Source organism: Homo sapiens, chromosome 9, assembly GCF_000001405.40.
Source record: "Homo sapiens chromosome 9, GRCh38.p14 Primary Assembly".
NCBI lineage: Eukaryota > Metazoa > Chordata > Mammalia > Primates > Hominidae > Homo > Homo sapiens.
The window spans coordinates 130441512-130465425 of record NC_000009.12 but is presented as its reverse complement, the minus strand read 5'-3'; the positions used below and the strand labels follow the sequence as shown (position 1 = coordinate 130465425).

The 23914-nt window shown below is 55.9% G+C and overlaps 1 protein-coding gene and 1 non-coding gene across 3 annotated transcripts in view, besides 9 other annotated features; both read right to left on the bottom strand.

Annotated features, from left to right (window-relative positions):
- ASS1 (argininosuccinate synthase 1) overlaps positions 1-20719 on the bottom strand; it is a 56568-nt gene extending 35849 nt beyond the window's left edge. The window contains exons 1-6 of one of the 2 annotated variants that reach the window (NM_000050.4): positions 20431-20719; positions 15093-15154; positions 13093-13202; positions 11053-11121; positions 6837-7025; positions 1259-1315 (exon numbers count right to left, since the gene is read on the bottom strand). In NM_000050.4, coding sequence (NP_000041.2) covers positions 1259-1315; positions 6837-7025; positions 11053-11121; positions 13093-13197 — 420 coding nt within the window. In that variant the 5' untranslated portion in view covers positions 13198-13202; positions 15093-15154; positions 20431-20719. The remainder of the gene's footprint in view (positions 1-1258; positions 1316-6836; positions 7026-11052; positions 11122-13092; positions 13203-15092; positions 15155-20430) is intronic. The other variant, NM_054012.4, reaches the window with a different exon arrangement.
- Positions 3814-3863: an enhancer, noted in NCBI's record as "active region_29154". NCBI's record gives its function as "activates an Ori minimal core promoter by ATAC-STARR-seq in GM12878 lymphoblastoid cells {active_cell/tissue: GM12878}" and the evidence as "EXISTENCE:reporter gene assay evidence [ECO:0000049][PMID:35858748]".
- Positions 3944-4033: an enhancer, noted in NCBI's record as "active region_29153". NCBI's record gives its function as "activates an Ori minimal core promoter by ATAC-STARR-seq in GM12878 lymphoblastoid cells {active_cell/tissue: GM12878}" and the evidence as "EXISTENCE:reporter gene assay evidence [ECO:0000049][PMID:35858748]".
- Positions 11443-11943: an enhancer, noted in NCBI's record as "H3K4me1 hESC enhancer chr9:133328870-133329370 (GRCh37/hg19 assembly coordinates)". NCBI's record gives its function as "activates a minimal SCP1, AML or CMV promoter by ChIP-STARR-seq in primed H9 embryonic stem cells {active_cell/tissue: H9 hESC(primed)}" and the evidence as "EXISTENCE:reporter gene assay evidence [ECO:0000049][PMID:30033119]".
- Positions 13410-13704: a silencer, noted in NCBI's record as "tiled region #491; K562 Repressive DNase unmatched - State 8:EnhW". NCBI's record gives its function as "represses a minimal TATA promoter and a strong SV40 promoter by Sharpr-MPRA in K562 cells {active_cell/tissue: K562}" and the evidence as "EXISTENCE:reporter gene assay evidence [ECO:0000049][PMID:27701403]".
- Positions 13410-14119: a biological region, named in NCBI's record as "Sharpr-MPRA regulatory region 491".
- Positions 13418-14119: an enhancer, noted in NCBI's record as "H3K27ac-H3K4me1 hESC enhancer chr9:133326694-133327395 (GRCh37/hg19 assembly coordinates)". NCBI's record gives its function as "activates a minimal SCP1, AML or CMV promoter by ChIP-STARR-seq in naive H9 embryonic stem cells {active_cell/tissue: H9 hESC(naive)}" and the evidence as "EXISTENCE:reporter gene assay evidence [ECO:0000049][PMID:30033119]".
- LOC124902349 (small nucleolar RNA U13) lies at positions 15471-15570 on the bottom strand. Its single transcript, XR_007061925.1, has one exon. It is a non-coding gene; the product is annotated as a small nucleolar RNA U13 (small nucleolar RNA).
- Positions 17658-18325: an enhancer, noted in NCBI's record as "H3K27ac-H3K4me1 hESC enhancer chr9:133322488-133323155 (GRCh37/hg19 assembly coordinates)". NCBI's record gives its function as "activates a minimal SCP1, AML or CMV promoter by ChIP-STARR-seq in primed H9 embryonic stem cells {active_cell/tissue: H9 hESC(primed)}" and the evidence as "EXISTENCE:reporter gene assay evidence [ECO:0000049][PMID:30033119]".
- Positions 18995-19662: an enhancer, noted in NCBI's record as "H3K27ac-H3K4me1 hESC enhancer chr9:133321151-133321818 (GRCh37/hg19 assembly coordinates)". NCBI's record gives its function as "activates a minimal SCP1, AML or CMV promoter by ChIP-STARR-seq in primed H9 embryonic stem cells {active_cell/tissue: H9 hESC(primed)}" and the evidence as "EXISTENCE:reporter gene assay evidence [ECO:0000049][PMID:30033119]".
- Positions 20543-20662: a silencer, noted in NCBI's record as "silent region_20401". NCBI's record gives its function as "represses an Ori minimal core promoter by ATAC-STARR-seq in GM12878 lymphoblastoid cells {active_cell/tissue: GM12878}" and the evidence as "EXISTENCE:reporter gene assay evidence [ECO:0000049][PMID:35858748]".

Here is a 23914-nt window from a genome sequence, read left to right as displayed (position 1 = left end):
TGATTATAGGAGGAATGATAATATTTTGGATATATCGGTTTCGGTAAAACATGTTATTAAAATCATGTCACTTGTTTCATTTTTCTATTTTTTAATATGGCTACTACAGCCGGGTGCAGTGGCTCACGCCTGTAATCCCAGCACTTTGGGAGCCCAAGGCGGGCAGATCACGAGGTCAGGAGTTCAAGACCAGCCTGGCCAAAATGCTGAAACCCCAGGTGTGGTGGCGCATGCCTATAGTCCCAGTTATTCAGGAGCTGAGTCAGGGAGAATTGCTTGAACTTGGGAGGCAGAGGTTGCAGTGAGATTGTGCCACTGCACTCCAGCCTGGGTGACAGAGCGAGTCTCCAGAAAAAGAAAAAAAAAAAATATATATATATATATATATATAAAACATATGTATTTATATGTAATACATATTATATAAAAATATTTATATATTATATATATGGCTACTAGAAAAATTGGGCAGCTTGCAGCGGCAGTGTGCCTCAAACTCCCACTGCTCGGCCCTGCCCTGGGCCCTGCACTCGGCACCCCTGGAGCTGAGTGGGTGCTCAGTAGACACTGGATGAAGGATGAGCTAGCGAGTGAAGGAAGGAACGTGTCCATCATTCATGCATGGACGCAGGCCAGGTCCAAGGTCAAGCTGGAGGGGTGGGGATGGTAGTAGCAGTCTGGGCAATACCCACAGGTGCCCTCCTGCCTGGGTGACATGCCACGGGCCAGGGCGGTTGAGGCCCTGAGATCCTGGTGATTCCCACCCCAGGAAAGGCTCAAGAGATGCTGGGGACCAGGCACAGGTGGCCTGGGGAGGAGCCAGGCATAGCTGGGGGCTCTGACTGGGGCTCGGAGGGCTCTGAGCATCCCAGACACCAGCAACCACGTTTCAGAGCCATCCCCACCCGCACCTGGGGTGCCAGAGCCATCCCTGCCCGCACCTGGGGTGCCAGAGCCATGCCTGCCCACACCTGGGATGCCAGGGATGTGGCTGAAGAGTGGCAGGGACTTTCTATCCCGTGCCCCAGCACCTGGACAGCCTCTCCGGGAAGAATGAATGGCGGGGAAGAAAGTGTGTCCCCTGGAGCTGGCCCCAGCGAAGGGAGCCTCCCCAGCAGGCTGTCCACCCGATGGGCACCCCTGCCACGGAGGAGATTCTGTGCCTGTCCTGTGGAATCTCCCAGAACCCTGTGCCCTCCTCCCCATCAGGTGCTGCAGATGCTAGTGCTCCCTGCTAAGGGGAGGAGCCACATCCTACCTTTATCTGGGGGGCCAGTGAGTAGCAGCTGAGCTCAAACCGGACCTGATCGTTCCCCTGCAATGCAGAACAGAGGGCTGTCAGGAGCCACAGGATGGGGGTTCTGGAGTCTGGGGGAGGACGTGAGGACAAGGACAGCCCGTGGCGGAGACAGAGCTGGGCAGAGCGTGTACACATGTGAGGTCATGCAGTGTAGGTCGTGTATGTGTGGGCATGTGGCAGGAGGGAGATGTGCACGTCTGGGGACATGGCAGAGTATAGGAGAGGGCACACATGTCACGTGGGTGGGTGCAGGACACATCTGACCCCCTGGAGCTGGAGGCCCAGCCACTGGCAAGACCTGGGGGGCCAGGCCCTGCTCCTGCAGCCCCAGAGCTCGCACTATAGTCTCTTCCTCAAGGCCCCCACATTGCTGACCCTGCCCTGCCCCAAATCAAGCTCACTTCAGGGCTGGGGCACCAGGGTGCTTGGACTCCCCCATACCCATACATTTGGGAACCCTGTCACCTCTCTGAGCCTCAGTTTCCGCATCTCTTCAATGGCTGGTGTCAGGGAGGAGGTGGAACTAGGTGACCACTGAGGGCCTTTTGCTCCTCAGCTCTTCTCTGCACAGAGAGGGAAACTGAGGCCCAGGAAGGGAAAGGAACCAGTCCAAGGACACACAGCCAGGGCAGGCCCGGGACCCAAGCCCAGGTCCCCAGCACCACAGCCACCCCCTCGGGCAGGTTGCCTCGCCTGCATCCTCTGTGGGCAAATGGAGACACCTCAACACCCCACTGAGCTGTGAACGTTACCCCCGACATAGCCGGGACCACCGTCCACACTGATGCCGAGGAGGAGGAGGCCGGGGTCAGCGCAGGCATCCGCCAGCCCAGCTCTGTCCCCAGAGAGAAAATGGCCGCGCACGTCTCCTGCTTCCCCGTGGGCTCGGCAGCCCAGAGGGAGACTTAAGCGCTGTGGAAATGACAGAGGGACCTTTTGCCTACTGTGAAAACTGCATGGGCGCAGCCAGGCAGCGGTGGGAATTACATGCTATTTTCCAGACTCTCGTCAGGTGGCACAGAATCCAGGGTTCAGCCTCTCTGCAGAGCTGGGAGCTGTGTGTGCGGCACAGGCCTTGGGCTGGCCTCACTCACCCTCCATGCAGCCCCTTTAGTGAGCACCTACTATGTGCTGTCACTCAGAGAGGCCCCCAGGGCCAGGGGGATTTTTAGCCATATTTTATGGGTGAGGAAAGTGAAGCTCAGAGAGGTGCAGCCACTTGCCCAGGGCCACACAGCAAACTCGCTCATCCTAACGGTTCACACTCAGGCTTCCCAGCTGAGCTCCATGCATAATTAACTCACTGAATCCTTTGAGCAGCCCCAGGAGGCAGGTTCTATTAGTCCCATCTTACGGATGAGGACACTGAGGTGGGGGCGGCCACATTTGCCTGCTGACCCCCAGCCGGCCCCGTTCCTGGAGCAACTAAAAGACAGCCTCATTTTAGATGGTAAGGCATGGTCCGACGTTGCATGGCCCAGCTATTTTCCCCCACAGCTTCATGTTTCCCCAACACAAAGACGGCTTGTGCCTCACCAGCCAGGCACGGCTGGGCTGCTGTCTGCCCATCCAGATGCTGCCATGCGGACACCCATCTGTTCAGGAGCCAGAGACCCTCGAAGAGGCCAAACAAACGCTTCCTTGGTTCAAACTCTGCCCTCGTCTCAGGCAAGAGCCAAGGAGGCCAGTCTAATCCTTCCCCCTCTGAACCCCAAGACCCCAGCACCAGGGCAGCTCCTGGCAGCTTTCCGGGGAGAAGGAGGATGTAGTGTCTCACACACGAGTGTCCGCATGCTGATATTTGTGCACACGTGTGTAAACATGCATGTAAACACGGTCCCACTGGGACTGGGGGGCCTGGGGTCTCCCATCTGCCCTGGGGCACCCATACAGATGGTGCCATTTACAAAACTCTCGCTCCCCGGCTAGAGTCTCAGAATCATATTTCCAGGCCCCTCTTCCAAAACTAGGGGGAGAGAGGAGCCCCGCAAGGGCCACCCCAGCTTCGGTGCAGCTCTCTGGGTGGGCAGGGGTGGGGCTGGCAGCAGGGCATGGGAGGGGAGAGTGCGGCTCAATTTCTGCACCAGGTGCTGTCTGGACGGGGTGCTGGGAAGGGAGGCTGCCTCCGCCTCTGCCTTCAGGGCTGGGCTCAGGCGGTTCCAGCAAACAGGATGCCCTTCCCCCTCACATCCCAGGCCAATCCGTTGTCCCCCCAACATTTCACTGTCACCTTCCCTGAGCCCAAAGACCCGAAAGCCTCCACCTGGCCCGTCCCCCGTGATGGCGCCCGGGGCAGTGCTGGGTGGATACTCATGGGATGGTGGTGCTGGGTGGTTACTCAGGGGGTAAATGCCTGAAGGCTGGACCAGCACCTCCAAGGCCTTGGATTCCCCTCGCTCCCAGCCTTCCTGGTTCTCCACTCATACCCCCAGTTCTCGGAAATTGTCTCCAGAGGCTGTTGGGGGTTTCCTGGGTACTGTCATAAAGGGACACTGAGGCGCAGAAGTACGCCTTGCCTGTCAACCCCAGGAAAGAGGTGGCTGTGCCAGGTAGCACCTACTCCCCGGCATCCCCGGAGTCCGTCCCTGTTGGGTCTTCTGAGTGTGAATGCAGGGACGCCCCCAAGTCCCGAGCGGCCATAGCACTAGCTTGGGGGGCGTTCTCCTCAGAACCACGCCCTGCAGGTCCAGGATGGGGAACAGAGGACCCCGGTGGTGCCGCCACCTCCTCCCGCCTTTGTCGGCCCCCAAGGCCTCAAACCCAAGCCTCTGGCGCCCTCTGGTGGCCACATGGAGGAGGGGCGCACACGGCTGCGGGAGGCTGTTGCAGGCTAAATGTGGGCTGGTCCGGGGTGGGGGTCTCCGCATGGACCCGGGAACTGCCTGAGCCAGAGCCGACCCACCCATACTCACCCACCCACCCATGCACTCCACCAGACCTGAATGCCGCCCTACTGAACCTTAATGGTACCGTTGGAAAGACCTGAGGGCAGGACCCCTCCCAGAATTCTGATCCCCTGCCCTCGGCTTGTATGCCTTCTGGGATAGGAAGCTCACGATCCAGCTCTTTCCATTAAGGCAGATGGGTCGGGAGCTTTTTTTTTTGTTTGGGACAGAGTCTCGCTGTGTCGCCCAGTCCTGATCCTCTGGGTTCTCCTCCTCTGCCACCACCTTTGCACAGATGGCAGCATACACACGGTCCTGCCCAACAGCTCAGGCCCGCCCAAACCTCCTTGCCTGGTTTCCTACCATCCCATCATCCACAGCTGGAGTGACAGTAAAAACCAAGGCCGCAGTCTGTGAGAAGCTCTCCCCTGTCTCTTCCCCAGCATCTCGCTGGGGTAGTCACTGGCCACCTCCATCCAACCTGAGACCTCCTTCCACCCACTAATCAGTTGCCCTCAGGATGAAGCCAAACCTCCCAGCATGGCCTCAGCCCAGTCCTGGCCCTATTGCCTCCCCCACAGCAATAGCTCCTGCTCCACAGCCCCAGACAGACTGTCCTTCAGGGCCTCTTGGCTCTAAGCCTTTCCACAGGCTGTTCCCTCTGCCTCTCACACTCTTCCATGCCATTATTCACTCCTCTAGACTCATCCTCAGCCCCTGCCTGCTGCTCCCGCAGTTCCCTGGCACAGACCCCTGGCCCCACTCCCATTCCTCATCACACATCCATTTTCTCTTCTCTTGCCAGGAAATGGGCTCTCTGAAGGTACGCAATGAGCCCAAGAAGTTAGCACTGTGCCAATGCCAGCAAGCACCCAACTCCCAGCAGATACCCAGTGCAAGCTTGCTGAACCAGTGCTCCGGTGAAGAAATGAACACTTGGACTTTCAAAGACATGACAGGTGCCATCCTGGTGGGTGGCTGTCTCCCAGGCCACCCTCAAATCAACCGCGTCTCCTCCATCATCATCTTAGCTGTGTGTGTCCCTGCACCACAGTGAGCCAGGACCTCCCACAGTGAGCCAGGACTTCCCACCATCAGCACCCTGACCAGCCCGGGCAGGCGAGGTAGTGAGCTCCCCGTCACTGGGGAGTTTCCGAGCCTTCTGACTGTGGGGTTGGTAAACAGTCAATTCCTGTACCAGGCTCTTGGCATGCTGTCCGCTGACTGAGAGCTCATGACTTGGGTCTTTATAAAAACATCGGCTGACAGTTGCCAACATTGTCAGGAATCTGGTTTCTCAAGGACTGCCTTCCGAAGAGCAGCAGGCAGGGGGCTTCCTGTCTTGCACCCCACGGGGACCCCGCAGTCTGCACTGGGACACACGGCCCGGAGGGAAGGGGTACGGGATGGGTTGATTTGTGTTTCCACAAAATAATGGGTTCAAGTCCTAACCCCAGTCCCTCCGAATGTGGCCTCATGTGGTCTTAACAGAAATAACCAAGTTAAGGCTGGGCATGGTGGCCCACGCCTGTAATCCCAGTGCTTTGGGAGGCCAAGGCTGGTGGATCATTTGAGGTCAGGAGTTCAAGACCAGCCTGCCCAACATGGCGAAACCCCGTCTCTACTAAAAATACAAAAAATTAGCCGGGTGTGGTGGGGTACACACCTGTAATCCCAGCTACTCAGGAGGCTGAGGCAGGAGAATTGCTTCAATCTGGGAGGCAGAGGTTGCAGTGAGCCAAGATCGAGCCACTGCACTCCAGCCTGGGCGTCAGAGTGAGACTTTGTCCCTCTCCCCCACACACACACACAAAAAGTAACCAAGTTAAGATGAGGTCATTGAAGGGCCCTAATCCAAGACGGGTTCCTGTAGCAAGGGGAAGGTAAACAGACAAGCAGAGGGAAGACAATGCAGAGATACAGGAAGAAGACAGCTTGGGAAGATGGAGGACGGAAGGACAGGAGTGACGCAGCCACACGCTAAGGGACACCAGAGGCCACTGGAAGCTGGAGAGAGGCCTGAGCCGGAGGCTTCCTGGCACCTTCAGAGGCTGCGTGGCCCTGCCCATGCCCTCACTATGGACCTCAGGCCTCCAGAACCATGAGGCAGAACAGTTCTGTGTTCTAAGCCACCAGTTTGAGACATTTTGTTACCCTCGCCCTGGGAAACTAAGACATGGCATGAGCCCCATCTTGCAAATGAAGAAACTGAGGTTCAGGAAGGGGAGAAGGGCCCTGGCTGAGGACACACGGCAAGCCAGCAGCAGAGCTGCCTTTGAACCCTACTCTGCCAACTCAGGGTTTTCAACACTTTCCTGCGTGTCCCCTGGGGGACTCACGCAGTGACCTTGGCCAATGCGACCTTGGACAATGTCCCCAGGCCTCAGCAGCAAGTCTGCCAAATGGGGTGACATCGCTCCCACAGCAGAAGGTGGAGGTGAGGACTCAGAATGGGCGTTCAGGTGCCACAGTGCACAGAGCGCAGGGGCGAGCTGTTACCCCTCTCATTGGGGTCTAAACAAAGCCATGTAGCTGCCTTGCACCAAGTCTGCCCCGGAGGCACACCAGGAAACCGCTCGAGGGGTGCTCATCTCCTTCCCACACCCCTCCGCCTCCATCTCCCTCTGCCCGGCCCTTCCCAGGTGCCTCACCTTTCCTGTGGCGCCGTGGGACACATACTTGGCCCCCTCCCGCTGGGCGATTTCCACTTGTTTGCGGGCGATGCAGGGCCTGGCAAGAGAGGTGCCCAGGAGGTAGCGGTCCTCATACAGTGCGCTGGACTGGATGGCCGGCCAGATGAACTCCTCCACAAACTCCCTGCTGACATCCTCAATGAACACCTACGGGAAGAGGAGCCCAGAAGGAAGAAGTAGGCAAGGACAGGGGCCATCTGGCATACAGAGCCCCAGGGGCCTCAGCTAGCTGAGACCTATACGGGGCCACCCCCGCTGTACCTGGTGCTTCTTCTTCTGCATCTGTAGTAGACATCATTCATCAATCCCAGCACACTGCACTGTTACTCTCCCTCCTGCACTCATGGCAGACATTGCTAATCAATAGCTCTCTTTTTTTTTTTTTTTTTGAGTCGAAGTCTTGCTCTGTTGCCCAGGTTGGAGTGCAGTGGCTCAGTCTCAACTCACTGCAACCTCCGTCTCCCAGGTTCAAGCAACTCCCCTGCCTCAGCCTCTTGAGTAGCTGGGATTACAGGCGCATGCCACCATGGCTTGCTAATTTTTGTATTTTTGGTAGAGACGGGGTTTCACCATGTTGGCCAGGTTGGTCTTGAACCCCTGACCTCAGGTGATCCAGCTGCCTCGGCCTCCCAAAGTGCTGGGATTACAGGCACAAGCCACCGCGGCCAGCCTGCTAATCAATCCTGATGCACCGTTCTGTGAAACTGGATGTGGCTTCTAAATCAGCCCCAACAAGATGAAACTTAGTTGTCACCTAAGATCTCACAGCAGTAGTTCCCAACCAGAGACGGTTTTGTCCCTGTTGGGGGTGGGAGTAGGGGAGGCATTTGGAAGTATCTGGAGATATTTTTGGTTGCCACAACTACCAGGTGGGGGGTGGAATTCTGGCATCTAGTGGGTAAAGGCTATGGGGATACTGCTAAAATCCTCCCGTGCACAGGACGGCCAGCCACACGGGAACAAGGCCAAGACTGAGAAACCCCGATCCAGAGGAATGGTTCTTGAAATGTAGACCCCCAGGGGTTCCCAATGACTTTTCAGGGAGACACTGAGTGAAAACTTTTTTTTTGTTTTTTTGAGACAGGGTCTTTCTCTGTCATCCAGACTGGAGTGCAGTGGTGTGATCCTAGCTCACTGCAGCCTCAACCTCCTGGGTTCAAGCAATCCTCCCACCTCAGCCTCTTGAGTAGCTGGGACTACGGGCATGTGCTACCACGCCCGGCTAAGTTTTTTATTTTTTGTAGAGATGGGATCTCACTGTGTTGCCCAGTTTTCTTCATAAACTTCAATAAAACAAGGCATCACATAGCGAGGAAGCCCTGGGAGGCTAAAAAAGAAAAACAAACAAACAAACGAAAAAACAAGTGAATGCAGAAAACCGCTACAAGAGTCCATCTGTTTTCTGTCAAGCCAGACATTACAGAGATTTGCAAAAATGGAAGCCAATAAGATTCTTAACTAAAATTTTTTGTTTGAGAAAATAGTTATTTTTCATAAGTGTAATGTTACTTATGTTAACATGAACTGTTCATTTAAAACATTTCAGCTTTTATTTCTAATGTGATAAATATCAACAGATGTAATCCACAAAAGCTCTCTAAGGCCTTCAGTAATTTTTATTTTTTTGAGATGGACTCTCTGTCATCCAGACTGGAGTGCAGAGGTGCAATCTTGGCTCACTGTAACCTCTGCCTTCCGGGTTCAAGTGATTCTCCTGCCTCAGCCTCCCGAGTGGCTGGGACTACAGGCATGTGGGGTTTCTCTACTAAAGAAACTAGGCTGGTTGGCCAGGCTGGTCTCAAACTCCTGACCTCAAGAGATCTGCCCACTTCAGCCTCCCAAAGTGCTAGGATTACAAGCGTGAGCCACCGCACCCAGCCAAGGCCTTCAATAATTTTTAAGAGTCGAGAAATTCTTGGTACTGCTTTTGCAACTTCCTGTGTCTATAATTATTTTGAAAAAAATCCTTTTAAAAAATGAAATAAAAAGGCATAGAAAAGAAAGCAATTGGGACTAAGGATATATAAAAAACATTAGGATAAATGTGTTTTTGTGTTTGTTTGGTTGGTTGGTTGGTTTTTTTTACAGAGTTTTGCTGTTGTTGCCCAGGATGGAGTGCAATGGTGTGATTTCAGCTTACTGCAACCTCCGCCTCCTGGGTTCAAGCGACTCTCCTGCCTCAGCCTCCCGAGCATCTGGGATTACAGGCACCCACCATCGCGCCCAGCTAATTTTTGTATTTTTAGTAGAGACAGGGTTTCACCATGTTGGCCAGGCTGGTCTTGAACTCCTGACCTCAGGTGATCTGCCTGCCTCAGCCTGCCAAAGTGCTGGGATTACAGGCGTGAGCCACTGTGCCTGGCCCATCCTAATGTTATATGCAAGAAAATAAACATTAAAAACGCCACGTAAATTAGAGTGTAGAGGATTCCCAAGACCACAAGTTTTGAGAACTGCTCATCTAGAATAAAGGACAAAAGCTGAAGCCGTGCACAAAGCCTGCTCCTGCGCTGCTGAAAGCGCACTCGAATCTTCAACACTCAGGGCTCTTTCTCCCCTTCCTGGACTACTGCTCAGACAACCCCTCTGCTCTCCAGCACTCGGGAGGCACAGAACCAAGGAGGGACATTCTAGTTCCAGGCCTGTGGCCAGTAGGTGACTTGGGACTGGGGCATCCACTCCCTCCCGTGTTCATTTTAACATGCTAATTACCCTGGCAACCCTGCAGAAGCACCCCACAGAGGGGATCAGCTCTGACCCTGCAGGTGGGCTGGTGGCCTTGCACATCATCCCTGCTATGTCCCCTGCTCACTCTCCCAAATGAAGGGGCACAAGTGGCAAGGGCTTCTCCATGGGGAGTGAGCACATGTGAGCAGGGGTCCTGATGACACTGTTCATCATAAATGCCCTGTATGGGACAGGGGTCTGCCTGCCACATGCCTAGATTCACAATCAAGGCACCAGACTCAATTGGAGTTCTCTGATTCTGTTGAATGAATGGAAGAATGGGTAGACAGAGAGATAAAAGAGGGAAGGACAGGTAGGGGGATGATGGACAGAAGGATGGATGATGGATGACAGATGGATGGATGGATGAATGGATGGATAGAAAAACGGTGAATGGATGAAGGATGGATGGATGGATGGGGGATGGATAGATGAATGGCTGGCTGTCTGGATGAATGGATGGATAGACAGTGGAGGGATTAATGACAGATGGATATGTGGATGGATGGATGGATAATGAAGGGATGGATGGGTGAATGGATAATGGGATGGATGGATAGATGATGGATGGATGAATGGATGGATGAATAGACGGATGGATGATGGATGGATGCATGGGTAGATGATGGATGGATGAATGGATGATGCATGGAAGGATGAAGAATGATGGATGGATGGATGGATGATGGATGAATAAATGGATGATGGATGGATAGACGGATGATGGCTGGATGAATGGATGATGGGTGAATGGATGGATGGATGGATGATGGATGAATGGATGGATGATGGATGGATGGATGATGGGTGAATGGATGGATGGATGATGGATGAATGGACGGAGGATGGATGGATAGATGGATAGATGGATGATGGATGGATGGATGAATGGATGGATGGATAATGGATGGGTGGATGAGTGGATGGGTGATGGATGGATGGGTGGATGGATGATGGATGAATGGATGAATGGATGGATGGATGGATGATGGGTGAATGGATGGGTGGGTGATGGATGGATGGATGGATGGATGATGGGTGAATGGATGGGTGGGTGATGGATGGATGGATGGCTGAATGGATGGATGGATGGATCGATGGATAGCTAATGGAGGGATGAATGATGGATGGATATGTGGACGAGTAGATAAACAGAGATAAAAGAGGGTGAGTGGGTGCATAGATGGACAGAGAGATAAAAGAGAAGGGAAGGTATGTGGGTGGGGAAGAGACACTCCACCTGGATGGGAAGGTGGGTGGGTGGAAGAGGGCGTGGGGGAGGCAGAAAAACAAGAGGGTTCACACACCTGAGAGCAGGATGATCTCATACTCTTAGAAGCAAGAAGACACACTGGAAGGGATGGGATCCCTGGGGCAGGAGCATCCACCACTGCCCTCCACATCACCGCCCCACTCCCAGCCCAAATCCCTGCCTCCCGCCTGGTACCTTTTTGGCCCCAAGCTTCAGTGCCTTCTTCCTGGCTTCCTCGAAGTCTTCCTTCTGGCCAATGTTGGCCTGAGAAGCAGAAGCGGAGAGGCTCCGTCAGCCCCTGGGGGGAGCCCTGAGTTCACACCATCCGCATGCAGCAGCCTCCCACCCCCTGCTACAGAGACAGCTTCCATTCCATGGCCAAGTCACAGTAAGAAGGAAAAAGGACAAAGCCCAAGGCCTGGAGAGGTGAGATTCTTCCAGGAGGTGAGATTGGGAGCTGGATTGTAGCGTGGTGATGGCTGGTGGCTTCCATGGGTTGGAGCATTGGCTGAGCCTGGCCCTGGCCACACAGGCTGCTGGGAGACAACCATCTGCTGTCATTGCTGGAAGGTCTAGGGTTCTCCTGAAACTCATCTGTCTTTTCCAGAAAACTCTTTCTCAGCCAGTGCAAAGATTAGCTTGTCAGGGCCTTCCTAGCCTCCAGCTCTCCTCCCTAGTCAAAGGCCATGCCTTGGCCATCCTGAGGCAGCTGAGAGGCGGGAGGCAGAGAAGCCCGTGCTCAGGAACTTCCAGCTCCGTCCCTGTGGCCAGTGCCCTGACCTCGGGGTCTGACAGCCCCTGTCTAGACACTGCCATGTTTCCTGCTGCCTGGACTCTGGCCTGCTGCCCAGATCCTGGCCTCAGCCCTCACTCCCTTCATTCGGCTCACCAGACCCTGGAATCTTGCCAAAGCCCAGCTGCAGGTGCTTATCTGAATCACATTCAGCTTTTAAATCCCCCAGGTGGTAGCCCAGGGGTCTATACGCCCAGCTCCAGCTCTGATTGCCCCGCTGTGCTACCTACAGTGAGATGGATACACCCTGGGCTCTTTGCAGCCCCTCAAAGCTGTGCTCTCACCCACCAGGTGACTGTGAGCAAAGTATTTCTTCCCCTGGGCCTCACTTTCCCCAACCTGAATGACAAGGGCATTGGGCGCAGTTAGACATGCCAATATGCCGGCAAACAAGCCACTTTTGGCAAGAGCTAAGTTTTGTCTGTCCAGAGACCCAGGCTCACTTCCTCTGGAAACAGAACCTTCTTTCCTGGGTGGACCCCATTCCACAGGGATGGAGAGGAAGAAATCCCGCCCACTGAAGGAGTAGGCTCATGGCCCAAGCCTCGCACCCCATGATGCAGCCATAGGGACTAATGCGTGGTGGGTCCCCATGGGCCCTACTGGGGGTAAGCCCTCCTTTTTGGGAAAGGTGGGCTATGAGGGTGACCATGAGCCTTGCCTGCCCTGTGGAGAGGCCAAGAATGAAGCCAAGTAGAGTTGGAGATAGATCTTAGAAGCACCTGGATCCAGCCCTGCCTGAAGCCATCCTACCCCTGGAGTTCTCAGTTGTGTGAGCCAAGAATTGTCTTTTCCCTTTCCTTTTTGCGTAAGTTGGTTTGAGTTCAGTTTCTAAAATTTGCACCTAAGAGTCCTGAACAGCACAGCCACACAGAGAAGGACTCAGAGCTGTGGCCAGGTTCAGTCGAAGAGGAGCTAGTTTGAGAGGGATGACTCCTATGGGCCCTGGATGAGGAAGTGGCTTCACACATAACCCATCACCTGTGACCTATTTCCCATCCCAGAACCAGGTGATCCCCCAGGGTCCTTCCAGCTCAGGATTCCACAATCTTTGCTGAATTACTGCAGGCTGACAGCATACTCTGGAGATGGGAAGACTGTGTGCCTTCCCAGGGCTGGCAGCAGGTCCCAGCCCATGCCTCTCTGCAAGCAGGCTAAGCCAGCAGCACTGCCAAGTTCACTTCTGTGCCCTCCCCGCGCCTCCATCACCTGGCTCTGGAAGGCATCTCAAGGATGGCCAATTTGCAGATGGAGAAAGTGAGGCAGTACAACGAGAAGCTATTTTCCTAGTTCCAGTTCAAGACAGGCTTCGAGAGAAGAGGCCAGGCTTGAATGAGTGACGGTGAGCAGACAGGCTGACAACCCAGACAGAGGCTGGCAGGGGGCAGACAGGACAGGTTGCAGGACACGCAGGAAGACAGACACCCAGGTCGCTCCCTCACCAGATAGGCAATGACGTCATAGCCTTGTTCCTTCAGCCACACGAGGATGCACGAGGTGTCCAGGCCGCCACTGTAGGCCAGAACCACGGAGCCTTTGCTGGACATAGCGTCTGGCGGGAGTCGAGGAACAACCTGAGTGACCCTGAGACAGCCAGTGCCCCCCGCCAGCCCCTGCAGACAGCCCAGCCCCGACCTTGGCCTTGGACAGCCTTGTCTCCTGGGCAAGCTGCCACTGAAGGTCGGGAACAGGATGTTCACCTTCAGTGCCTGCCACCCCCGGGAACCCTGACCTCGCACACTCTGCACACAGCCCCACAGACCACACTGGGGCCTGGGAATGCTGACTGCAGTCCTAGGCTGGTCGGGGAGAGGCATCTCTTGGACCTGATCCTCCAGCATCGAGGGAAGGCGGCTGAGGCTGAGCAGTTTGGCCCAAGGCCAGGATGTGAGGAATGCACGCAGGCAGGAGATGTGGGAGGGGCCTTGGCTCTGAGCCTCTGGCAGCTGACACATCCCCCATCAGAACTGCTCCTTGCCAAGCACCAGGCAGGGCCCTGGGAGCCTCAGCGGGATCTCCCTGTGCCCCTGAGCCCCCACTACAACCTCATGAAGTAGGAGTTGTCATTCCTATTGGGGAGGCAGCCAGCAGGGCTCAGAGAGGTCAGTGGCAGGCTCAAGGTCACAGAGGGCACAAGAATCTGTGCTTCCCCAGCACGCAGTGCCGCCGCCCACCTGCAGGTGGAGAAGGATGCTGTGGGGCAGGGGCCCAGCCCCAGTCCCTCTCCTACCTGCAACCCCATGGAACCTTCACTGGCTGGAATTTTAGACATCGTGTCTCCAAATGTGAGCGCCTCTGAATTCAACTCTGCCAATGCCCAGTTTGGAGGGGCTCAGAGACCAACTTCCCCCAGTGTGGAGGTAGAGAAACTGAGGCCCAGGGAGGGAAGGCGATAGACAGGCAGAGGCCTAAGACCTCTGCAACCAGCGGCCCTTCCCGGGGGGACAGATGGGCACGAGGGCTCTCTGCAGCCAGGCCCTCTGCAGCCGGGAAGTGCCTGCGGTCTCCCATCCTGCCCCACCCTCCGTCACAATGAAGCCTCCCGAAGGCGCCAAGGCCTCCTGTCTCCTGATCTTTGCAGCCATGCTTCTTCCCCGAGGGCTCTCCCTGAATCCTGGGCTGCCCTTGGGCTCGCCCTGCACCCCCCTCCCCCACATGCCTCCTGTGGCCCTGGGCTTGGGCGTCTTCACTGTGTCCAATTTGCTGAACAGGAAACCAGGGTTAGGGAGACGAGGTCACCTGCCCAGGGTCATCGGATCAACAAGCAGCAGGGGCAGATGTGGGCCCAGGCCTCCTGGTTCCAGCCTCCGTGGACACCTGGCCCCAGCATCCCGCATTTCCCAAATGTACAGGGCATGTTTGTTCTGCCTGGGAACGTTTCCACTGGAGTCTGACCAACGTCACAAGGTCAGAGTCACCCAGGGTCTTTATTAGACACTACTGGGGAAGTGGAGCCCAGAAGGGTCACCCGGCCATCACCATTGCAGTGATGCAGGCATCGCTATCCTGAGCACTCTCTGTGTGCCTGGAAGCTCGGGGAGAGGAAGTGCCTTTCCCAGGCCTCCCGTCCTCTGCTGCAGAGCCTGGCCGTGTAGCCAGGTGGACTTTGGAGCTCCGTCACATGAGAATTCAGTCCCGTGCATGCTGCACGGTCCCACCTGCCAGTCAGCCGGGGCTCACAGGCCTGTGCTGCCCTTTGGACTTAGAAGGGGAAACACCTCATGGACCATGCAGCTGGGGCAGAGAAGATGGTTCTGGTCGGTGCCCACAACGTCCCTACTGGGCATTCAACCCCCTGCCCCTGAGTTGCTGGTGACTCAGCCAGCCCTAACCCTGGAGCCAGCAGGTGGTATCCATGGCAACTGCAGCCAGGCAATTGGCCATGCAGGATGGAGGGAAGGAGGGAGGAAGGCAGGCAGGGAGGACTTAAGGTGGGCAGTACCTGGGATTGGAGGCGTGAGTTCCCGGCGTCTGGAATCTGTTTTCACAGTGCAGTGAACCACTCTGCAAAAGCAGAGCTACTCAGCTGCCTGCAGGTAGCCTGGGCCATCCCAGAGGCCCTAAACCTTACTTTCCAGCCGCCCAATCTCCTGTGAGCAGCCTCACTGAGCAGAGGAGGTCCAGGAGCCCCAGAGCCACCTGTCCTGCCTCCTGCCTCCTGCCCCCTGCTCCAGAAGGCATTCAGGAAATATGTGGAAGCCTACCCCTGTTTGCGTGTGATGGCGCGGGTGGTGTGGTTGGGTTGCGGGAAATTCTGTTGTATGTTTTAAAACAGCTCTATTGAGGTCTACTTGACATATCATAAATTGCATTTTTTAAATATCAGATGGGTAATGTGCCAACATCATAACAAAGTTTGAGGGTGGCACCTCACACACACACGAGAATACCCAATCAGCACATTCATCAACTACAAAAATAATCGCATATTTTTTTGTGTCCAATTTAGCAAGTTTCGGCGTGCGGATGCGCCCGTGACATCAACACCACAATCAAGGGAATAGACATGTCCGTCTTAGGCTAAGCCCTTCCATCTGGGGTTCTCTTCATTTTAGAGTCAGGAAAACTGAGGCTTGGGCTGAGGAACTTGCCCTGCATCTCGTTTGACTGGTAGGCAGCAGAGCCAGGACTCCAACTCAGATCAGCTCGGCTCCTTAACCCCCTGCTCATAGGTACAAGACCACCACTGGAGACTCAAGGAAGGGAAGTCCTGGGCAAGTGTGATCTGATGATGCTGGCCCAAGATTCACCCAGCTCTGAGAGTCACCCCTGCTCCTGCCTCCTCCCAGAGGCACCTGGAGCCAAGAGAGGCAGCTCCACAGAAACACGGAGGGGCAGCTCCACAGAAACAGCTGGATCACCTGCATCGCCTCAGTGACCCGCCATGCCTCCTGCCCATCAGAGCTGTATCCTTTTTTTTTTTTTTTTTTTTTCAGACAGGGTCTCATTCTGTCACCTAGGCTGGAGTGCAGTGATGCAATCTCAGCTCACCACAGCCTCCACCTCTTGGGCTCAAGGGATCCTCCCATCCCAGCTCAGTGCCACCACCCCCAAGTAGCTGGGACTACAGGCACATGCCACCACACCTGCCTAATTTTTGTATTTTTTGTAGAGATGGGGTTTCACTACATTGCCCAGGCTGGACTCGAACTCCTGGACTTAAGCGATCTGCCTGCCTCAGCCTCTCAAAGTGCTGGGATTCCAGGCATGGGCCACTACATCCGGCCATCATGCTGTATTCTAACTGCCCTCTCCCCCACTATGAGCTCCATGGAAACAGGGACCATCTCCCAGATGCCTGTGGCAGGCACTTAGAACAATGCTACTAGTTCCACTCTCTGGAGGTCAGCTCCTCACCGCAAAAAGAGGGCTGGGGTGCCCTGAAGCTGTGGAGTCCTACACATGCTCTCATGGCCGAGCACAGTGGTTCATGCCTGTAATCCCAGCACTTTGGACGGCCGAGGTGGGTGGATCACTTGAGGTCAGGAGTTCCAGACCAGCCTGGCCAACGTGGCAAAACCCCGTCTCTACTAAAAATACAAAAATTAGCTGAGTGTGGCGGCACACACCTGTAGTCCCAGCTACTTGGGAGGCTGAGGCACGAGAATCGCTTGAACCTGGGAGGTAAAGGTTGCAGTGAGCCAAGATCGTGCCACCACACTCCAGCCTGGGTGACAGAGTGAAACTCTGTCTTAAATAAACCAAAAGAAACCAGTGAGCCCCTCCTGCCTGCCAGGTTGTAGCTGGGCAGGTGTGGGCTCTGAGGCCTTCAGCCTCTGGGGCTGGGCAGTGTGAAGCAATGCATGGACCTGGCGTGTGTACCTGAGACAGTGTGTGTGTGTGTGTGTGTGTGCGCGCGCACACACCTGTGTGCACCCAGGGGTGCGTACCTGAGAGTACACAATGTGTGTGCATGCATGTGTGTGATGTGTTTGGGCTTGCACATGTGTGCCTGTGTGCATGCACACGTGTGTGGGTGTTGGGGCCAGTGTATGCATGCAGAGAAATGAGCTGGGCAGATGGGCTTGGGAAAATGATGCAATCAGACAGCAGCGTTGCTCCTGCCCTCCCAGCAGCGGGTGGGGCACCCCCCTCCCTCAGCCTCCGCAGGTCCCTAAGCTGCATTTGCAGCCCGAGGCAAAAACTAAATGAAACTGAGGGTTTGATGTCGGGGGAGGAAGTGACAGGGAGAGAAGGAACCACAGCTGCAATCCAGTGAGCGCTCACTCCAGGCACAGGACAGAGGTCAAGTCCACCAGACATGGGTTTGAGTGGCTTCAGCTCTCTAGCATAACTGCTCAGCTGCAAAATAGGGGTGCAAACAGCCTGCTCCCCACAGGGCGACTGTAAGGATTGGGTGAGATGCTGGGGGAAGGAGCCCAGAGCTGGGCACCAAGCATGTATGTGCCCACTAAGCTCTGTGCACCGCTGCTATGGCTGACCTCAGCCAAGTTCCTGGCTTGCTAAGCCTCAATTTCCTCATCTGTACAACCTGACAGCCCTCTGGGTTCTGACCCTCCCAGACATTGGGCTTTCTTCCTGGGAGCTGCGCCTGGCAGGCAGATCCTGGCTGAATTCAGCCTCCCCTAGTCCCAGCTCCACCCCCACCACATCCCCCAGAAAGGGCCACGGCAGGTTTCTCCAGCTCCCTGGCAAATGCCCACTGCCCTCCAGCCCTCCTTCCCCGGAAGAGACACCTGGGAGGAGGGAAGGTGGCCTCGCGTCAAGGTACCAGAGCCACCTGGCTTTCATTGGGATGGCATTCTCTGTGGCCCCAGCCACAGCCATCTGTCCAGCTTCCAGCAAACAGGCCAGCCTGGGCGCTCACTTGACACTAAGGAAAACTCGTGCTACTTGAAAACGTCAGAGCTGGAATGACAACAAGAGCGGCTACTATGTTCACAGTCACAGGTGCATCCTCTCAAGGTGGAGACTGCCATTACCACCTATTTACAAAGGAGGAGGCAGAGGCTAAGCGGCCAGCCGAGGTCACAAGCTAGCGGCTTCAAACCCAGCCTGACTGCAGGCCACTTGCTCTTCCCTGCACTAGGCCTTCCACTCCCTGGCTCCTAGGAGACCTCAGATCTCCCCTTCACTCTACACACCTTCCAGAAAACCAGCCCCCCAGTGAGTCATGGCCAACCTGCCCACTATTTCTCTGGAGAGCCTGTGTGCTATAGCTCAGGCCTACTGCCCCGTGGAAGATTCCCCTGCAACCCCTCGCTGACATTCTAACTCAGCTGAGCTCGGTTTGTCTTTGGTGATGGACGAAGGGCACATTCATTCATTCGTTCCACTCATATCAAAGTGCCTATGGGTGCCTGGTCGACCCCAAGTCTGGGGAGGGAGCCACGCCCTGGAAGATCAACTTTGCCCAAAGCTACATCAGAAATCAGAGCCTTAGACTCTGAATTCCAGCGAAGTTACCTCTTTCCACATGGGTGCCTGGTGCCCACAGGCAAGCCACTGACTTCAGGGACTGTGTAGTCAGTGCTCAGATGAGGCATCTGGTTGACCTGGCTGGCCTCCCAGCAGGCCAAAGATGAGATGGGCCCGGGTTGGGAGGGGGAAGCGCTTGTGCAGCAGGCTGTTTTGGGCCTGGCTCCACCCCAAGGCTCCTGCGGCCCTGGGCCTGCTTCCCAAGCACTCAGGAATGGAGACTGTGCTGAGAGTGGGGCCTCCCCTTCCCTCTCACGACGTGTCTGCCCCCGCACCGGCCAGGCGCTCAGCAGGCAGGAGTCACTATTCATTCACTTGATCCACCCCCACAGAGCAGAACCAGAATTACTTCTCAGCATGGTGCACAGATGGCCCCGCCAGGACAGGGTCCCGCCCCCACCCCCAAACTTCCCCGCCCTAGGCCTTGGGCCTAAGGGGTCTGGGAGGGAGAGGGAGTTTGGAATGGAGACTCCTCCAGTTCCTGCTCCTAGCCAAGCTTCCCAGTCCGTGTGGCTGCTTCTCCCTCCCTCTCATCAGAACCTAACCCCAGGCACAGTTATTGTGCAATTGGACCCAGGCCCAGCACCCAACAGTCTACAGAGCCCTTAGCAGCCGCACAGTATCTGCAAATGTTTCCTGAGCCCTCAGCCCCAGCCAGCTCTAACAGACTGAAGCTTGGGGGCCAGGCACTTTGGGTGGCTCGAGCCTGTAATCCTAGCAGTTTAGGAGGCCCGAGGGAGGAGGGTCGCTTGAGCCCAGGAGCTCGAGGCCAGCCTGGGCAACATGACGAGTCCACATCTCTGATAAATTTTTAGAAAGAAAAGAAAATGAAAAGGAAGCTTGGGAATCTGGAGGCTGAGCCAAGGCCTCACCAGCTCTCCCCATCACTGGGTTTGTGCTTGCTGGGAGCGGGAGGATCAAAGCCCAAGTCCCCTAGGTCTTGATCTACCCCTGGGGAGAGAACAGGTCTGTTCCTGCCCTGAGACCTGCAGCCTGACTCGGCTGCTCGGGAGTGGACTCTCCACTTCTCAGAGAAGAATACTGAGGCCAGGCCAGCCCTCCTCAGGAACAGCCCTGGCCGCCTGGGAGAGGAGTTTCCTCTCTTTCACAATGACCCTGCCTCCCTGGAGGGCGCAGCCGCCCAGGGGCCAAAGGCAACAGCAGCCCGAATAGAAAATATTCCTGGCACTGCCCCTCCCACAGAGCCCAGCCCAGGCCAGCAGGAAACCCCGCCGCGAGGCCGCCAGCCCCACCGGGGAGGGCCAGGTGGCTGCCGCCCCCTGCAGGGAAGGGAGCCAGGGCCACCATGCCCATCTGTCCAGGGTAAACTGAGGCTGCGGGGAAAGCGATACGTCCAAGCCCCAGAGGGGCTGGACTCCTGGTTTTACGCAGAGAAATAGAGGTGGAGACAGACGGCGAGTCCGAGAGAGGGAGAGAGAATCGGGAGCCCCCCCACACGCTCCGGACTCCCCAGGTCTCCATGTGGGGGCTTCACGACACAGAGGAAGCCGGATCCGACAAGGAGTCCAGAAAGGACCCGGCTGCGCAGGGAACAAATAACCCGAGCCGCTCTTCGGACCCGGGGACTCGCGCCCCCGGGGACTCGCGCCCCCGCCGCGTCCCCCACGCTCCAGAAACCTGGAATCCGGTGCCAGGCGTTTGAGCATCGGGAGCCCCTTCCCTCCTGCCTCGGTCCCAGTCCCCGGCGAGTGGCGATCGGGGTCCGCCCTCTGCCTCCGCGGGCCCCGGGGCGGGCGTCTTCTACGCCTCCTCCTCTGGGCCCGGGAAGCGGGTGCTCTCGGCTAGGGAGTGGGCAGCGAGAGGGGCCGAGGGCTCCTTACCGGGCTCGGGCAGCGGTGGCAGGCGGCAGAGCAGGACTGGCAGGGGTGCCCATCCCAGGTTATAAGCACAGGGCCCGGGGGCAGGGCCGGTGACCGGGGACACGTGGCGGGGACGCGCGCCACAGACCCCGCCCCCGGGCCCGGCCCCCGCCTGGAGCCGCTCAGCGTTCACAGCCACCTGCAGATGGGCGGGGCCCGCCTCCCCAGGCCTCGTCCCCACCTCCCCCCGCCTCCCACCAGGTCCGGGCCTGGGCCCGGCGCCGGCTCACCCTCCCAGGGGCGCGCCGGCGGGGGCGCAGGCGGCTCGCGGTTCCTGGCCCTGGCCCGCGGGCTGGAGGCGCCAAGGAGGGCGGCAGTGGCTGCGACCCATGTAACTCAGGGGCGGAGGGTGGCCGCAGCCGTCCTTCGAGAGACTTGCCTCCTGGCCCTGGGGAAGCAATTTAAACGCTTCGCGGTGGGAGCCGGGATAAAAGTTCCACTGGCGCAGGGAGCTTCGTGCTCACTTCTATCCGGTGCCGGCAGCCTGGGCCTTCTGCAGCCCCCAGAGCCCCCTCCCTCCCCAACCATAGCCTCTGGTAGCCGAGTAAGGATGAGAAAACCGAGGTGAGCCGGCGCGGGAAGGCCCGGCTTTCATCCCTTAGGCCAGGGCTGATTGCTGGCCTGTCTTCTCAGAGCCTGGCACCTGCCCAGACTCCAGAGGGCACCCAGTAAGCAGTGAGTAAAAGACTGTCTGGCTGCGAACCCACTAGACAGGAGGGAAGGTTGAGGTTCAGAGAGAAGTCTCTTGCTTGTAAAAAGCAGCTGGGAGTTGTGACCCCAGGCCCGCCTTCAACAGCTTCTCTACCTCAGGAGTTTCCCAGCTTGGTCTGCCGGCTCCAAAGCCCTGATCACTGCAACCACAGCCCCAGTAAAAGAGCAAGTCCTGGGACCCCATCCAAGGCAGTTGCTCCATAGTGAGCACTGACCCCAGAAGGGAGGACTCCCGGTCCTCAGCCGGCTCTGAACCTGGGGGAGGTGGGAGCCCCAAGCCTTGCCCAGCCGCTACCCTGGAGTCAGTGCTCCTTTTAATCACCATCCACTCTCAGCCCCTCTGCCAGTCAGCCCCCACCACCCCCTCAAGCCCATGGCAAGCAACAGTAGCTGTGAGTCCTTCTAGAAGGAAAAAAGGATCAAACCAATTCACAAACAAAGCCACAGCTCGATTCTCTCTTAAGCCCCTTAGTTCTCTGACACTTAAACCTGGGATGTGGCCCTTGATGGCAAAGGGGCCCCTGGTGAGCCACGTGGGGCTGGGTGTACATGGGTGGCTTGAGGCCCCTTCTAGATGGGAGGCGGTATCACAGCTGGCCCCCCTCAGCCCTCTCACAGGAGCAGCTGGGGGTCTCGTGGAGTCTCTGGGCCTCCCACACTAGCAGGAGGCAAGTGAGGAACACCTACACAATGACACCCTTGCAGCAGTTGTGTGTCCTTGGGGCGGTCACTCCCCACTGCAGCCTGTTTTCTCATTGGTAGGGTCGCCCTGGAAAGAGCAAGCATTCTGTTTTCACCTTCACGACTACCCTGTATGAAGTACCTGTGATTGTTATCTCAATGGTATGGGCAGAAACCTGCTGCACAGAATGACGGTGTATCTTTCCCAAGGCCACACAGCATGTGAGTGGCAGAGCGGAGCTAGAATCCAGTGTCTGAAGCTCTGGCTCAAACCCTCTGCTTTAGCTCCAGCCTGAGCTGAACTGAGGTCACAGTCCCAGGGTCACAGGCTGCTGGGACCTTTACTCCTTGCCGCAGAAATGGTTCCAGCCTAGGGGACAGACCCTTCCTAACTCACATGCACCAGTGACATGAGGGACAGTGAGGTCACAGCGCTCCTGAGAAGAAAACAGGGGCCCAAACTGCCAGCAGCACCCCGCCCCCCACCCCCACCGTCCTGCCACCAACAGCAGGGTGAGTGGTTGCCCAGAGGCAGAGACCAAGGTGAGGGAGGACTGGCCAGCTTCTGAATGAGCCCCATTCTGCCTGGACCCCTCCATCGGCCAGGGGGACCTTCAACCCTGCCCTGGCCCTTACCCTGCAGAGCAGTGCTGAGGGCCAAAGTGGGGCGTGGCCCAAAGGGATTCCCCCACCTGAGACTGGGGCACCATGGCCTTTGACTTTCATCTTACCCCCTGCCCACACCTAGGTCAGGGGTCCTCCAGGAGCCTTTGCACCTTCTAGGTAAGTGATCTTGGTGGCATTCCTAAAAACAAAGCAGCACCTAGGCCTGAGCAGGTGGAGAAACAAAGGCACTGGGATCTGAGACACTCATACCTTCCTTTTTTTTTTTTTTTTTTTTAATTTGGAGTCTTGCTCTGTCACCCAGGCTGGAGTACAGTGGCACCCTCACTGCAGCCTCTGCCTCCCCGGTTCAAGCAATACTCCTGCCTCAGCCTCCTGAATAGCTGGGACTACAGGCCCGCCACCACACCAGGCTAATTTTTGTATTTTAAGTAGAGACGGGTTTTCACCATGTTGGCCAGGCTGGTCTTGAACTCCTGACCTCAGGTGATCAACCCACCTCCGCCTCCCAAAATGCTGGGATTACAGGTGTGAGCCACCGTGCCCAACAACATTCATATCTTCTAAATATATCAAGTCTGCCCCTTTCTCTCCACTTCCACTTCCTCCATACAGGGCCACCATCTTCTCTTACTGAGACCATTATAATTTCTTACTTAAGTCTCTTTGCTGGCTCCTCCACTTACCCTAGTTGCCCCTCCAACATTTCCTCCCCAACAGCCAGAGAGGTTCTGTTTGTTTGTTTGTTTAAGAGATAGTTTCTTGGGGTCACAGGTATGGGTACTCCAGGGCCCAGCTCTGAGATGACTAATTTATTGGACACCTTGGATGACTGGCCTGGTGGAGGCCTGTGCCCAGGCAAAGGCCTAAGTCTTCCATACAGTGGAGAGGAAGACCTGGTAGGTTGAGACATCTTTGATAGGTGGTATAAAAGTCCTCAGTTTCTTTTCTTTCTTTTTTTTTTTTTTGTATTTTTCACTGATATATCTTAGTTATACATATTTTGGGGGTACATGTGATGTTTTGATCCGTGTATACAATGTGTAATCATCAAATCAGGGTAAGTCTTCAATTTCAGTGGAGGTACCAAGAGATCCATCCTGGTTTAGATGTCTGAGCAATGTTTTATGTGTATAAGTTTTGCCTATCTTCCATCAAATTTACTTCTAAGAATTTTAATTTTTTGATGTTATCATACATGATATTTTTATTTTCCAATTGTTCCTGGCATATAAAATCAACTTTTGTAAATTAGGTTTATATTCTGCAACTTTTTTTAAATTCACTTATTGACTCTAGTAGATTTTTGTAAATACCTTAGGATTTTCTAGGTAGACAGCAATGTTGTCTATGAATAGAAACAGTTTTACTTTCCCCTTTATTACCTTTGTACCTTTTTTGCTTGCCTTATTGCAATGGTCAGTATCCC